Consider the following 14,445-nt stretch of genomic DNA (forward strand, 5'->3'; position numbering starts at 1 on the left):
TATATTTTCTCTTCCTTTTGATTTTCTTAATGACGTTTTCTTTTTTCTAGCTTACTTGATGGTAAGATAAAGTCTATAATACATATAACATACAAGATCTATGTTAATCGACTGTTTTTGTTATTCCCAAAGCTTCTGGTCAACAGTAAGCTATTAGTAGTTAAGTTTTGGGGGAGTCAAAAAGTTACACATGGATTTTCTACTGTGCGGGGTTCGGCACCCCTAATTCTTGCATTGTTCAAGAATCAGTTGTATTACACTTTCTAGTTACAATGCATTTAACATCTTGTGCTATTTAAAACAACCCTGTCAGGCAGGAGGAGAAAAATGATTATCTCTGTCTAGCAGATAAGAAAAGTGAAATTCAAAGGTCAATGACCATCTCCAAATCACAGTGCAACAGCATTGCTAAGACCTGAATTCAGTCTGTTTCATCATAGTTCGCTGCTCTTTTAAAAATTCCACCGTGCCTCTTAGGGCATATTAATCACCATGTGTGGGAGTGGGTGGGGGCTGTCAGAGGGGCAGCATCTGGAGTTTTACCTGGTCAGGACAGAAGTCCTCCTCCCTGCTGGAATGATGAGCCTCTGTGCTTTGTTCCTTCTCTGCAGTGTGGCCAAAGTGATGGGCTTTTACAAAAGGGCACCATGGGGCATTTTCGGGGTAGCTTGGGATGGTGATTGGGAGTAGCTCACATGACACATGTTAGGATGTTGCCAAACTCATTTTGGCAAGGCTATTTGATAGTAAAAGGATATAACGCTAGCAGCCTCTGTTGTCCAACACCAGGGAGATAATTCTTCTGTTCTTATCCAGCATGGTGCCAAGCTCTACGGGAACAAAATGGAAGAAGGAGGAGGCAGAAAACGAAGCCCTCAGGTCCCTTAGGTTCAGGAATGCACATAATTAATGCCTTCCTTGACCCTTAGGAAAGCCAGAGCGCTAAGCATTGGGAATATTTTACATTAACAAAACCATATTTGTTTAACCAGTATCCTGTCCTTTTTTATTGCCACATCCTGGGGAATTTTTGAATTTATTCAAAAAATGTCCTGCAATGTTAGTACTGAATCTAATGGCTGGGCTGCATTGCTTCCTGTTACTCTCCATCTGGCCGTTTGTACTAACACAACACTTAGGGGAATACTTTCTATGTAGATGTCAATGCCCTGGCACAAAGGAGAGACTTGAGACACTGGACATAACTTTGTAAAAACTATCTCGAAGAATTAGAATATTGAAACATGAGACATCTGACTGGAAATACATACTGGATGTCACAAAATTAATTAGCTTATTTAAAATAATGATATTGCCCTTTTTCTTTTGTTTTGCAGTTTATAAAAATGTCACCTAATTATTACTAAATGTTAGATTAATATAGTTAGTTTAAAATGTGGGTTTTTCATCGTTAGACCTGAAGTGTTAAGCAACATAAATGAAGTGGTTGACTTTGTGACACTTACTTCTGATAAAGAAGGCAAATATCTCTCCTAACTTTTTTGCTTTATGAGTAGAAACAAGAGCACCAGATTTAAGGCTTCAAGGATTTCAGATAATTGCAAGTTGAGACATATAATATAGAAATACTATGTCAGAAATCCATGTAAAAGAATGGAGCCACATCAATTAGCAAGCAATAAAATACTTTTAAACATAAGCAGGCAGATTTGGAAAAGAACCAATGAGAACTTTCAGAAAAGGAAAATACAATTGGTCAAACAAGCAAAATCAGTGGGTGGTTTAAACAGCAGATTTGACATGACTATAGAGAGAATTAGTGAATTGTTGAAAAAGGACAAAGAGATATAAAAAAGTTACTATGGTGGATGCCCAGGGCTTAGTCTTACTAGAACCCCTCTGAGTAACTGTTGAATGTGCATTGAAATAATTTCTCAAAGGACTATAGGCAGGAAGCTTTACCCACTGGTTTTCATTCTCCATTATTTAAAAGTCACTTTCCAGTGTTAACCCCCCTGTGTCTCTAGGCTGTGCAGAGAGAATCTAGAGCTTTGAGCTTGAGGTGGGTGCCAATGGCCTGCAGGGAGCTGTCCATGGGTCCGATGGGCCAAAGGATTATGGCGTGGGAAGTCAGCCTGATGCAGACTGAAGAAGAATCACCGGAAACAATAAAAGTTAATGATACAGGTGCCTTGGCTGCATCTCAGGCTTAGAGACTCAGAATCTTTGTAAAGGTGACTTAGGAATCCACATTTTTAAAAAGCAAACCTCCAGTGTGTTTTATCATATTCACTAAAGTTTGAGAAATGTCCTGATGTCCTTTATCTGCAGTACACAGAATTTAAAATTGAAGTATTTCTTCTCAATTTTAGCTTGCCTCAAAATATTGCTATAGTGATAGCCTTGGGGAAAAATACCATATTACTATTTATTTTGACCAAAAGAAAAAAATAAGAAGAGCTTTTATGACTTCAGGACCTGAGTTCCAGTAAGAATTTCTAATTATGCTCCTTCCCCACCTTAATCCTTTTGGATTGCAATAGGATGGGAAACAAGTAAGTTGGAAAGTGTTACATTATTATTTTAAAATAGGGAAAATGTCCTCACATTTACTTTGACTTTTCTGATCCACTTTACCATTTACACACTTATATTTATATCCAGTGTCGTAACATCCTATACCAACCTCAATATTTCAGAAAACGTGAAACTACCTAGAATTATTTATTTTTTGGTAAAAACTTTCAATCAAATGTAACAGCTTCTTCTCTACCTGCTTTCTCTGCAGGCAACTGGTTTTAGTGATTCCTTTCTTCTTCTGCCACTTTGTCAGAATACCCTGGGGTGTTCAGCCTCTTAGCTCATGGAAACCTCATCTCTTCTACCCAAAGACAATTGAACCTAGAGATATATGACATAAGAGAAACCAAGCATTGCTCCCATCAAATGTATTATATACACTGTTTACACACAGGGGCCTTTTCTAGCTTACTAAATCCTACCTCAATTGCCTTGTTTCCATTGCTCTGAGACAAGAAATAAAGACAAACTGATGTGGTATTTCATGTCTCAATCCAGACATAGCTTGAAAGAGGTTCTCTGTATATGCCCACCTATGGCTCCTTACCTGTGGGTGAGTCCCTACATCCTTCCACAGGACCCAATGTCCTCTTTAATTGAACCTCTGCCAATTTCCTCTTGTGTTCTATAGCCCTTGTCTTTTGATGACCTTCCTTTGGATTCAGTGTTTGTGGTGAAAACTTCCAGTTTAAAATCTTGTTAGTACAGAAAATGTTACAATGATTAATGATGTCTTCTTAAAAAAAAAGATAACTTCTCAAATGCCTTCCAAAGAGGTACTTTCTTTATGAAAAAGAACATTTTATCTCTGAATTATTTTAATTATGTTCTGCTGACAGAAAACATTATGCAGGAGGCCATCATTCCAGAGGGCTCCTCACAGTGGATGTTTGTATAAACACAGTTATACCTTTCCTCTTCCTTTCTTCCCTCTTCCCTCCCCTCGCTCCTCCCATCTTTCCCTCTTTCTTTTCCTCCATTCATTCTTTCTTCTCCCTGTATGTTTCCTTTTTCTTTCTTTCACTCTTTCTCTTTTACCTTTTTCTTTTTTTTTTTTTTTTTGGCATTTCTTTTACTTTTGAGAACTCTCTGCTAAGGGCTAACTCAGGTAAAATATTAATAGATGTCAAGATGTTTGAAAAAACCAAGTTGGTAATTATAGGGGAAAGGTATGCAGCATAACACAGGGCAATGACACTGTGCCAAGCTAAGAATAAGGCTAGCAAACTATAGATGACGTGTGCATAGTGGGAGCTGTACTAAGTAAACCTAGCAGCGGTTAGAACAGGGAAATCTTCAGTAGTCTTTATATTTTGACTTCAAAGCAGCAATTTGGCTACTTAAATACTGCAAAAGATGGGATTTAGAAAGCTATAAAGGATAAATAATGTAGATAAATAAAAGGTAAATGATGTAGATACATCTCAATGTAGATAAATCTTGTGGCTTCTTTTATACCATAGATCTGTAGGCTGACCATATGTCCTGGCTCATGCAGGATGGCTCTTGTTTACACTTGTCTTAATTCAATAATAGTGGCTCCTTTTATTCACAGCAGTGTTCTAGTTTGGATGGTAAGGTATACGTTCACATAATATATCAGCAAAATGTTTCTGATAGGTATTTTTGAGTCATTTGAGAGTTTTGGGCAGTCTTGGGCTCATGCTTCCTTAACCTGTACATTTGTAGGTTGAAAAAAAGGATTTCAGGAATCTAATTATGCTTGAGGCTCTGCTTACATAGCATACAGCTGAAACAATGTCTCTCGATACACTGTAAAGTAATAGCCTACACACTGTAAGCTGACAGACCAGAATAACTGTTGGAAACCTCTGGATGCAGGGGTAGTTTTGTCTAAGAAAAGCTATAGTGTTCTGTGAAAAGTGTCTGGATGAAGTCATGGACAAAATAAGGTAATGAGTGGTGATTGCACAAACCAGATTCCTTGCCCTGATAAATAGAGAGAAAAAGTAATTTCGCATCATCAAACTCCAGCTGAACTTGCCAATATATAAACGTAGAAAATCAGCCGCCATTGTTAACCAAACTTATCCAAATGTGAAAGGGAGCAGGGAAAAGAGAAATTCAAGTAATTCAACAGTTCTGAGATCTATGAATAATAGGAATTAGAGAAATGGAAAAATTTAGCACAGTGTTAGGATAAGTGATTCATGCCTCCAGAGTTCACATGCAGTATTATCATCATAAAAGAAATATGTGTAATTTTTATTAAAAAATAAAAGTATCTTATAAGCTTCAGAAAGAGAAATTTTAAGAAAAGGGATTTTCAGAAATTCAATCTTCATGGTTGTAAGAAAAATTAAAAGTTAGGGTCATGACCCACTTAAATGTTCAAAGTCATATTTGGTAAGTTCTTGTGTCAAAGAGTGCTTTCAGTCATCATTATGGAACGTGAGAACCTGGCAAGCTGCAGCCGAGAACATTGTCTTCTGTGTCATAGTAAAGATGTTCAGTTTTAGACCCTGAGCTAACATTCAGCTCAGAAGTCTCTCAGTGAGAGTTGGGAAAGAAAGAAAAACATTCTGAGAAGCTTAATGTCAGGCAGTATTATTTGTTATATTTTTAAGAATCTGTGTGTGTGTACGACTATTTCTTTTCCCTGCTAAACACTGTACTCAACTGTGAGTAGCAATGAGAAATTTTGTGTTATCATCATAGTTGATACAGAAAATTTAGTAACTACCATTAAGGGTATCAGAGGTAACTGCATCTGTCACTTACATGGATTTGGTAGCAATACTAGGAGAAAGAGACGGGTTCATTTTCACTTTACCAACTGATGTGGCAGTGTTCAATATAATCTTCTTTGATATATTCACCAGGAATCTTTGTCAACTGTATGAATGTGGTCCCTGACTCATTCTTGTTTGGAAAGGGGCTAAACAGCTAACATAATAATGTCAAAATTTGAACTATTTTTAAACCCCAGGACTGACTAAATATTACTCAGTCAAAAAAGAAATTTGTTTGAATTATTTGGCTTGGTATTTTAGACCATGAGTAATGTCGCAGCCTATTTCAAAATCTGCCTCTTGACATTGGCTATGCAGACCTATAAAGCCATAAAGGCTAAATCTTTCTTAATTGGACAAGCAACAGTGCCCTGCCCCCAAGCCAACACACTTAATGAAAAATGACTGGGATCATTTTTTGCAAGTATGGTAAAATAAATCTGGATCAAACAAAATGTTCTGACTCTTTATTTTACTTAAGAATATTTGATGTTCTGCTCCACTGAAATAGTAGAAGGAAAATGAATTAGGAATTTCTAAAAAGCTATCTGAAAAAATTTACAACATTTTCTGCCATGAGTGTTACATCTTTGTTGGCAGACAGTGAACTCTCCAGATCATTGCTCTTGATTAGCAATTTGTAGAGCTAAATCTGGGATTATGATGTAAAAACCACCAGATAAAGAAGAAAATGTGAAAACAGGTTTCTCTGTAACAGCTAAAGAATGCCACAAATTAATTCTTTTTAAACACAAGCATGCTTCCACAAGAGTGTTTTCACTTGATTCTAGAAGGTGTTTTAGCACAGTGCAGCTCAAAGTGTGGCCTATGGCCTGGTGCTGGTGTACAAACTGTCACCATTCTGAGACAAGATAAGCAAAAAAATGAGCCTAAGAAACTTTTACAGCCATTTAAATAACTGAGAGTAATTTTTCCATCTGTTGAATCTACTAAATAAATGATGTTTTATTATATTTTTAATTTTTTCCAGAAATTTCATTTTTATATATTTTATATAAGTGAAAAGAAAATTTAAATACTGTCATTTCAGCATATGTAGCTTGAGAAACATTGTTCTAGAACTCAAAAATTACTTCTTGTTGGTTTTCCAAACAAAACAAAAAAGTCAAAAAAGATGCCCAGTGACATCCCAATACCTTTGGAGATCATGACTCATTTAGTTGAAAATGAACATCGAAGTCAGTAAGCTTAGCAGTATTTATAACTTATCCACGCGTTACTTTTTTAACAGAAACAACTGAAATGCAAAGGTATTAAGAGTGTATTTTGACAGATCTATAGTTGATAATCTCACATACATGAAACTCGTTAAAAATTTAAGGCCATGGAGTCTACAGAGCAGAAAGAATAAAGAGTAACTCGGTTAAAACTAAAGTTAGGGACTCTAATTCCAGCTTCATCCAGAGGACTTTCTTTCAGTGTTCATCTAGACAAGACTTACATTTCCTATCCCCTTGTGGTGTAGCTAGGCCTGTTAACCAGCATCAGATCCAAACAGGAAGGGCAAATGGACTTGTCCCACACTGGATCTCTGCCTGTAAAGTACCTCTCTTGAGAGTCCCGCAGGATGTGGCTAACGACAATGAGCTCACAGAGGTGAATCAGTAGGTCTCCCTCCATCATCCTAAGGAGGAACAACCCTGTTCAACAAGCTGCACCAAGTTAAATTCAAAAGTGATTTGTTTTCTCAAATTTTTCAATGAAAAGAAAACAGATAAACACTTTTCCGTTTTAAGCTTTCCATTTACCATTATTTAAAAGCTCTCAGTGTCTTCTTTCTCTCTGAATCTGCCTTCCAGCAGTAATTATGAAATAAATTGACAGACAATCCTTTTTTCCTTTAAATGTGATTTCTTAAAAATGTGTACTAAAAATGTTAAGATGAAGAGATACATATTACATGGAGCTACATTTTTTTTTTGCAAGAAAACTGTCTTCTTAGAACATAAAAAGGAATAAGTTGCTTTATGCTAATGATCAACATGGCATCAAGGTATTATGCACCTGAATACATTTTGAGGCTGATTGGCTGAGATCAATGCATGACAAATTCTTTCTATTCTGGGCAGATGGTCCATCTTATAAATGCAATCTACAGCTATTCACTTCAGCGCCTGGGGTTGTAAGGGAATTTTATTACCTCCTAGAATAATGTTCTTATGCAGAGCTACCTCTTCATAGCTAGGTAATTAATTGGATTTGTCCATTCATCCATCATTAAATATTTATATCATCTATGTGCCAGGTGGCCAGTGGTCACTAGGCTAATTAAACCTAGTGTGGTTAATAAAAAACCAAGATCCCAGATCTCATGTAGGTAACAGTTTAATGGGAGAGGCAGACAATGAATAAAAAGATAAATACTTAATTATAAATTGTGCAAAGTGTTAAGCAGGAAACATGAGTAGGATGCAGTGATAGAAAAGTCATGAGGCGCTCTCTGTCTTCATCTGTCCCTAAGTCCTGGCCTAGAGATGGTGTCCGTTTATCTCTTTTCAGTTCATGGCTCAATAGTTCTATGAAAACCTCTTCACAATCGATCCTCATGACTCTATGGGACACTTATTTTAAAAAATCTCATTTGTAGACCTCACGTTGGACTAACTGAATCAGAATCTCTGGGCATGAGGCTACAAAAATTAGCTGGGCATGGTGGCACACACCTGTAATCCCAGCTACTCAGGAGGCTGAGGCAGGAGAATCGCTGGAACCTGGGAGACGGAGGTTGCAGTGAGCCAAGATTGTGCCACTGCACTCCAGCCTGGATGACAGAGCAAGACTCCATTTCAAAGAAAAAAACAAAAAGTTCCAAATTTGAATGCAATGCATAGTGAAGGTTGAGGAACTCCATTCCCACTGAGGCAGAATTTCATGAGTGGTGCCACAACGAATACCCCATCTGCCTGGTTTTCTCTCTGGACTGCTAGACTCACAGGGGACTCCTACATCAATCATCACAGCCAGCTGTGTGGCCTGGGGTAGTGCTGATGCTATGGCCTGCAGAACCCTGGAGCTGTGACTAGTCTCTCCTGGACCAAAAGTCCACCTAACCTTCACAGGAGAGCCCTGTCTCTCAACCGGCTGCAGAAATGATGAGGGGAGCTACAACTTGCCAAAAATGAAAGTAAAAGCTGTTTCTCCACCTTTCAAACACATTCTCCAAAGTTTCCAACTTTTCTTCACATCACCTCCTTCCTCCTGGCCTTTGGATAGGAGTCTCGAATTCCTCCCTTTAATTTTTCAAATTCAATCCATTGTGCATTTCTGTACAGTGTTTCTCTGACACACCCCTTTCTTTCCACTCTTGCTGCTCCCACCTTAGGCCTAAGTATGGCATCTCGTTTGGACGTGCACAGCCTGCAAACCGATTATTCCCGAATTCATTTCTGAGAAAACACTTTCTAAAGGGCCTTCACATGTTTTCCATTGTAAAGTTTCATTTTTTCCCCCATGTTGTTTTTCACCCTGGTGCCTCTCCCTCCATTGATTATAATTTCTTGATTTCCTGAAGCAGTTTTGATAACAACCATTCTTTTACTTCATCTTCCTAGAATTAGACAAATGTCTTAATTCCTGTGTTAAAAATTCGAACTGCATTAATAAATGGCTCTTCACAGCAAAAATAGAAAAGAAAACAAATAAAACAAGTCAACAAATCTCACCTACCTCTTCCATTGTTATCTGTTGAAATCCTACTCATTTTTCATGGTCCAGCTCAGATGCAATTTTCTCCATGAGGACTTCCAAGGTCAAACCTGTAAAAAACAACAACAACCGTAAAAAACAACAACCACAAAAAACAAACCTCTACTTGGTGACTCTGCCTCTGAATTTTGAAGGTATGCCGTCTGTATCTTTTAGGAAGTCATTACCAACTACCTCTCATTAGAGATATTTTCATAGGTATCTTCTTATCCTCCCTACTTTGCTCAAGCTTCATAGAAGCCTTCATTTTTCGCCCTTTGCCAGGATTTGTCACTGTCTTTTACAAATAAATATTTTTGAAGTAAATAGACCACTAGATAAGTCAATAAATGAAAATGTTAATCAGAAACATTATTCTACCAAATCATTTTTTAAACCAAGTCAATCACATATTTCAGCAATATACAAAACTCTCATCATAATTACTTCTGGATTTATTATTCATGAAACTCTTCGTGTGCTGAGCCAAGCAGTGTTATTAGGCAGTTACTATGTGCCAGAGACTATGATATAACTGTGGGATACTATGGTGAGAAACAAAACTGAACAGAACAGTAATTATCCTTGCTTTTAAGAAATGCATAGACCAGTGGGTGAACTAGACATTCGCCAGATTAACACACAAATGAATGAGTAACCGCAGAGATGTAAACTACTTAGAAGGAGACTCCCTTCTTTTTTGAGAGTCTACTAAATAGGGAGAATTGATCCAGGCTGGGGAGTCAGGCAAGGCTTTCCAGAGTGTGTATTGTTTGAGGTGAGGTCAAGATGTGAGAGAGGAGAATTACAGAGGGAACATGTGTACAGTCCTTGAAGGAAGAGAGAGCATGGAGGTGAATGAAGCTGCAGGAGCGCCAGCATAGCTGGAGGGAATTGCGAGAGGTGCAGGAAAGTTGTGGACAGGGCACTCTTTGGGATGAGAAGTGATCAAATGTGTGTTTTGTGCAGAACTCTCTGACCATGGTGGTAAAAATAGATTGAAAGGCATAGTAGGTTAGGTAGCTGTAAAAGGACCAGTTAGGAAAGCAGCCCATGGGTAAGATGTGATGCGGTTTAGACCAAGGTGGTGGTGATGAAGGGAACTGGATAGAGTGGGTGATGTTGAGGTGATAACTGTGATGTAAGGTGGTGAGGTTCTGTCCTGAGAGGATGAGGGCCAGGGAGATGTCCAGGAGGCCTTCCAGGTTTCTGGCCAACTCAAATGTTTGGTGTTTGGAGGTGTTGACATTCACTAAGACAGGAAATTAGATGGCAGGCTGAGAGGAGTTAAGTAATATCTCAGGAGTGTCAGACGTAGCGAACATTATTTAAAATATTGCTTTCTCGTTGCGTTTATTCTATTTGCTTTGTATATTCACTAGGCTCTGGCTGCAGAACTGAAATAGTCAATCTCAGAAAATCTGAAGAGAAGGAATTAATGTAGTGTCTGTCCCACTGGTAGTTATTATTTCAGTCAGAGCTGAGGCTCATATCTCCTGTGCTTACACACCTTAGGTGTTTTCAAGAGGGCTCATAACCTTGACCAGGAAGAGGCTGAGAGAGAGCTTCGAAGCTTAATTCTGTAGTTAGAGGGAAAAAATGCTCCTGAACCTCTTCCTTGTTGAAGAGGCATTTGAGAGCACAGGAAAACTACTCATTGCAATGTAATAATTCTACATGATTTGACTCTGATGCAAGCAGATTTATTCTGAGTCCATTGAAACTTGAACTTTAAAAAGTAATGAAAGTAGTCAATGCTGGAAAAGACCAGATGTTTTTAAACCCACATTTTAATAATGCTTTTCTCTCTTTAATGAGATTACAGGAGAATTGTATGTGGGTTTTTATAAGTTTCAAAATCTTAAAAAATAAACTATTTTATTTTTGAATTAAAAAAACCTTTTTAAGTTCATAACTTTATGTTCTTGATTAAGTTCTGCATAGATTTTTCATTGAAGAGATAAATGTGCTGCCATAGGAAATGTGCAATGGGAGGGGTGATGTCCAATGCTGACGTTTGGCATCTGCTTTCATGTTAGGGATTACACTGGAACTTGATGGAGATGCCATCACAGCAGCTGTTCATTCACAAGGAATAAGAAATAATGGAACTGCTTATCAGTGAATGCCTGGGCTTGCAGAACAACTGTTCATTAACTTTGCTGAGCCAATAAGCAATTAGAGGACTGTAATGATACTCAAGGTCCCATGGCTAAAAAATCCCCTGCATGCTCTGGGCCGACACAGTCCAACAACTGTTTTATTTTTAGCACAGGAGAGTGCTTTGTTTCAAAGTTGGCGTGCCAGATTGCAAGCCTATGTGCAGTGTGCTGTTTTAGGATGCTCACTTTGGTATTTGTATTGCTGTGGCTGCTGTGTACTAGTATAATATTTAATGACCTTTCATTAGACAAGTTCCCTAAAGGTCTTTTTTAAACGGAAGGCTCAACTTTCAAAATCTAATCACCATATATAATCAAATATGTGCCCTGAGAATGAAAAACAGGGTAATGTTTACCACCTGCTGTAGTTCTTCCAGGTGCTGATATTTGCATTTGTCACAAAATATCACCAGCATTTCCTTATCTGCTGTCTCCTTCAGCTTAGGTTGCCACAACAATACCACACATTGGGTGGCTTAATGACTACAAGATTATTTTCTCACTGTTCTGGAAGCTTGAAGACTGAGCCCAGGGTGCCAGCATGGTTGGGTTCTGGTGAGGGCGCTTTTTCTGGCTTGCAGACAACCACCTTCTCACTGTGTACTCACATAGTGGAGAGAGAAAGAGAGTGAGCTTTCTGATATCTCCTTTTATAAGGGCACTAATCCCATCATGAGAGCCCCCTGCTCATGACCTCATCTAAACCTAATTACTTCCCAAAGGCCACATCTGCAAGTACCATCAGGTTGGGAGTTAGTATTTTGCAGGGACAAAATTCAGTCCATAGCACCTGGAGCCTGCTTCCTTCTAAACATCCCACCCTGGGCTAGAGTAGAGAAACTTGAGGAGATCACAAAATGTGCACACACACACAAAAAAAAACCCCACAGGATGCCTTTACAGCAGTGGGGCCCATATTTCAGTCTTTCAAGGTCACCTGTTTCAGTTATCTTATATGCTATGTTTTATACTTTCATTTTATTGTTCCCTCCTTTACCTAGACATTTTGCTAATAGATATGCTTAATTTTATCATTTGTTACTAGGAAAGCAATTCATTTTTCAATTGACTTTTATTTCTATAAGTGCCTCATAAATTACTGTTGTCATTAAGTTTCCAAGTTGTGACTAATGGTATTGACAAGTCACCCCACGTGTGATTAAGTGCATGAGCAGAGAATTGCTCCTGGGTTGACGCCTCATGCAATTTGGTAAGTACCAATGTCTGTCCCTGGACATTCACAAAGTTGCACATTGTAAGTGCTGACTCTTCTGTGAAATACTGCATCTGTTTCTTATTTTGCACAGCACGTAGGTTTTCTTGAAGTATCTATTAATGCCCAGTTAAGATGAAAAATCCTGAAATAAAAATGTTTTATCTTAAAAGCTTTGAAATTCCTTGTACCTACACATTGAATGATTAAAATAGCAAAATTGTGAAAACATATTTATGTGCAAAATTAAGAAAACTTCATTCTTGTCTTAAACTGCAGGGATGCTTGTTTTCTACCACAAAGCCTGTGAGCAAAAGTAAAGATTCGGAAAGTTGAATAACACACTGCCATTCATTTCCTCAATTCAATGACCAGTGACAGTAATTGATTTTCCCCCAACTTTATGTCTTGAAATTTCAAACCTACAGAAAAGTTGAAAGAATAATTCAGTAAGTTTTTGAGATCTATTGCACAGTATGATGACCCTAGTGTATTTTTATTATAAGGTAGGGTATATTTCAAAACTGCCAAGGGGTTAAATTTTAAAATGTTCTCACCATAAAAAATAATAGGTATGTGAGGTAATGTATATGTTAACTTGCTTGATTTAATTATTTCACAATGTATGCATACATCAAAACATCACATTGTGCCCCATAAATATATACCATTATTGTCTGTATTAGCCCATTCTCATGCTGCTAATAAAGACACACTTGAGACTGGGTAATTTATAAAGGAAAGAGGTTTAATTGATTCACATTTCAGCGTGGATGGGGTTCAGCATGGCTGGGGTTCCTGAGGTTCCATGACACCTCAGGAAACACAATCATGATGGAAGGGGGAGCAGACACAATCTACGGGGAAAGCCCCTTGTAAAACCATCAGATCTCATGAGAACAACATAGGGGAACTGCCTCCATGATCTAATCACCTCCCACAAGGTCCCTCCCCCAACATGTGGGGATTACAATTCAGATTACAATTCAAGATGAGATTTTGGGTGGGGACACAGCCAAACCACATCGTCTATGAAAAATAAATAAGATCAACTTGCCCCTAAAAATAATACAATAAACACTCAAATACACTTTGCTTATATTTAATAAGTATTAACATTCTGTCAGATTCTCAGGTATGTGTGTATGCATGGGCAGTTCTGAATCATTTTGAAAGTAAGTCAAAGATATGATTCTTGATCATTAAATACTTCATATAAAAATGTGTCTCCTAAGAATAAGAATATTCTTGTACATAACCCTAGCATCATAATCAATTAAGAAATCAAAAGGTGATAGTATATGTAGCATATTAGCATATGATATGAAATCGTAATTCATATTTCTTCAGTTTTCTCAAGAAATAACTTTTACAGCTATTAATTTTCTAGATCCAGGACATAATTACTGCATTCCATCTAATACCATTTAATCTAAGACAGTTTTCTTGCTTATTTTGTTTCTCATGCCATTGACATTTTAAGGAGTCAAGGCCAATTAATTTTTTAGACTGTCCCCAATTTGTTTTAAGGTTAGATTAATGTTAAACACTTTGGGCAATAAGATCACGTTGGTGGCAATGTATCTTATCTGGAAGTATGTGATGTCAGCTATCCCCTTCTTGTAAAATTCAGTATAATAACTTGTACTCTTAATAATCTTTGTACTCAAGTTATTATACTCAGTATAATAATTTGATCTCTTAATAATCTTTTAGATTCCTATTAAAAAGGTACATATTCTCTTCAAAATTAATGAACAATCTCTGTAATTAATAAGTAATGAGTGAATTTCTTTTCCCAAAATATTGAAGCAAATGCTCATAAACAAAAGCAATTAATTTAAGAATTCCTTTCCTCTTTCGGTGTTGATAATTTATGAAGAATGTTTCTGATCTCCAGTGGCTACTGTTGGGTGTGACAATTCTAGGGGATTTTCAGTTCTCAAATTAACTGTGGTTCACAGCAAGAATGTGGAATTTGGTAGTATTTCTTTGTCAATATCAGCAGCATAAAGTCTTAGAAATGTGGAGATGTAACGGAGTTTCAATAAAGCAAAACCACAGCCCTCCT

General features: G+C 37.5%; 1 long non-coding RNA gene across 1 annotated transcript in view; it reads right to left on the reverse strand.

Annotated features, from left to right (window-relative positions):
* LINC01885 (long intergenic non-protein coding RNA 1885) overlaps nucleotides 1-14,445 on the reverse strand; it is a 159,884-nt gene that overhangs the window by 25,026 nt on the left and 120,413 nt on the right. The window contains exon 3 of the long non-coding RNA NR_183423.1: nucleotides 8,982-9,070. This is a non-coding gene — a long non-coding RNA (long intergenic non-protein coding RNA 1885). The remainder of the gene's footprint in view (nucleotides 1-8,981; nucleotides 9,071-14,445) is intronic.

This window comes from Homo sapiens, chromosome 2, assembly GCF_000001405.40.
Source record: "Homo sapiens chromosome 2, GRCh38.p14 Primary Assembly".
Lineage (NCBI taxonomy): Eukaryota > Metazoa > Chordata > Mammalia > Primates > Hominidae > Homo > Homo sapiens.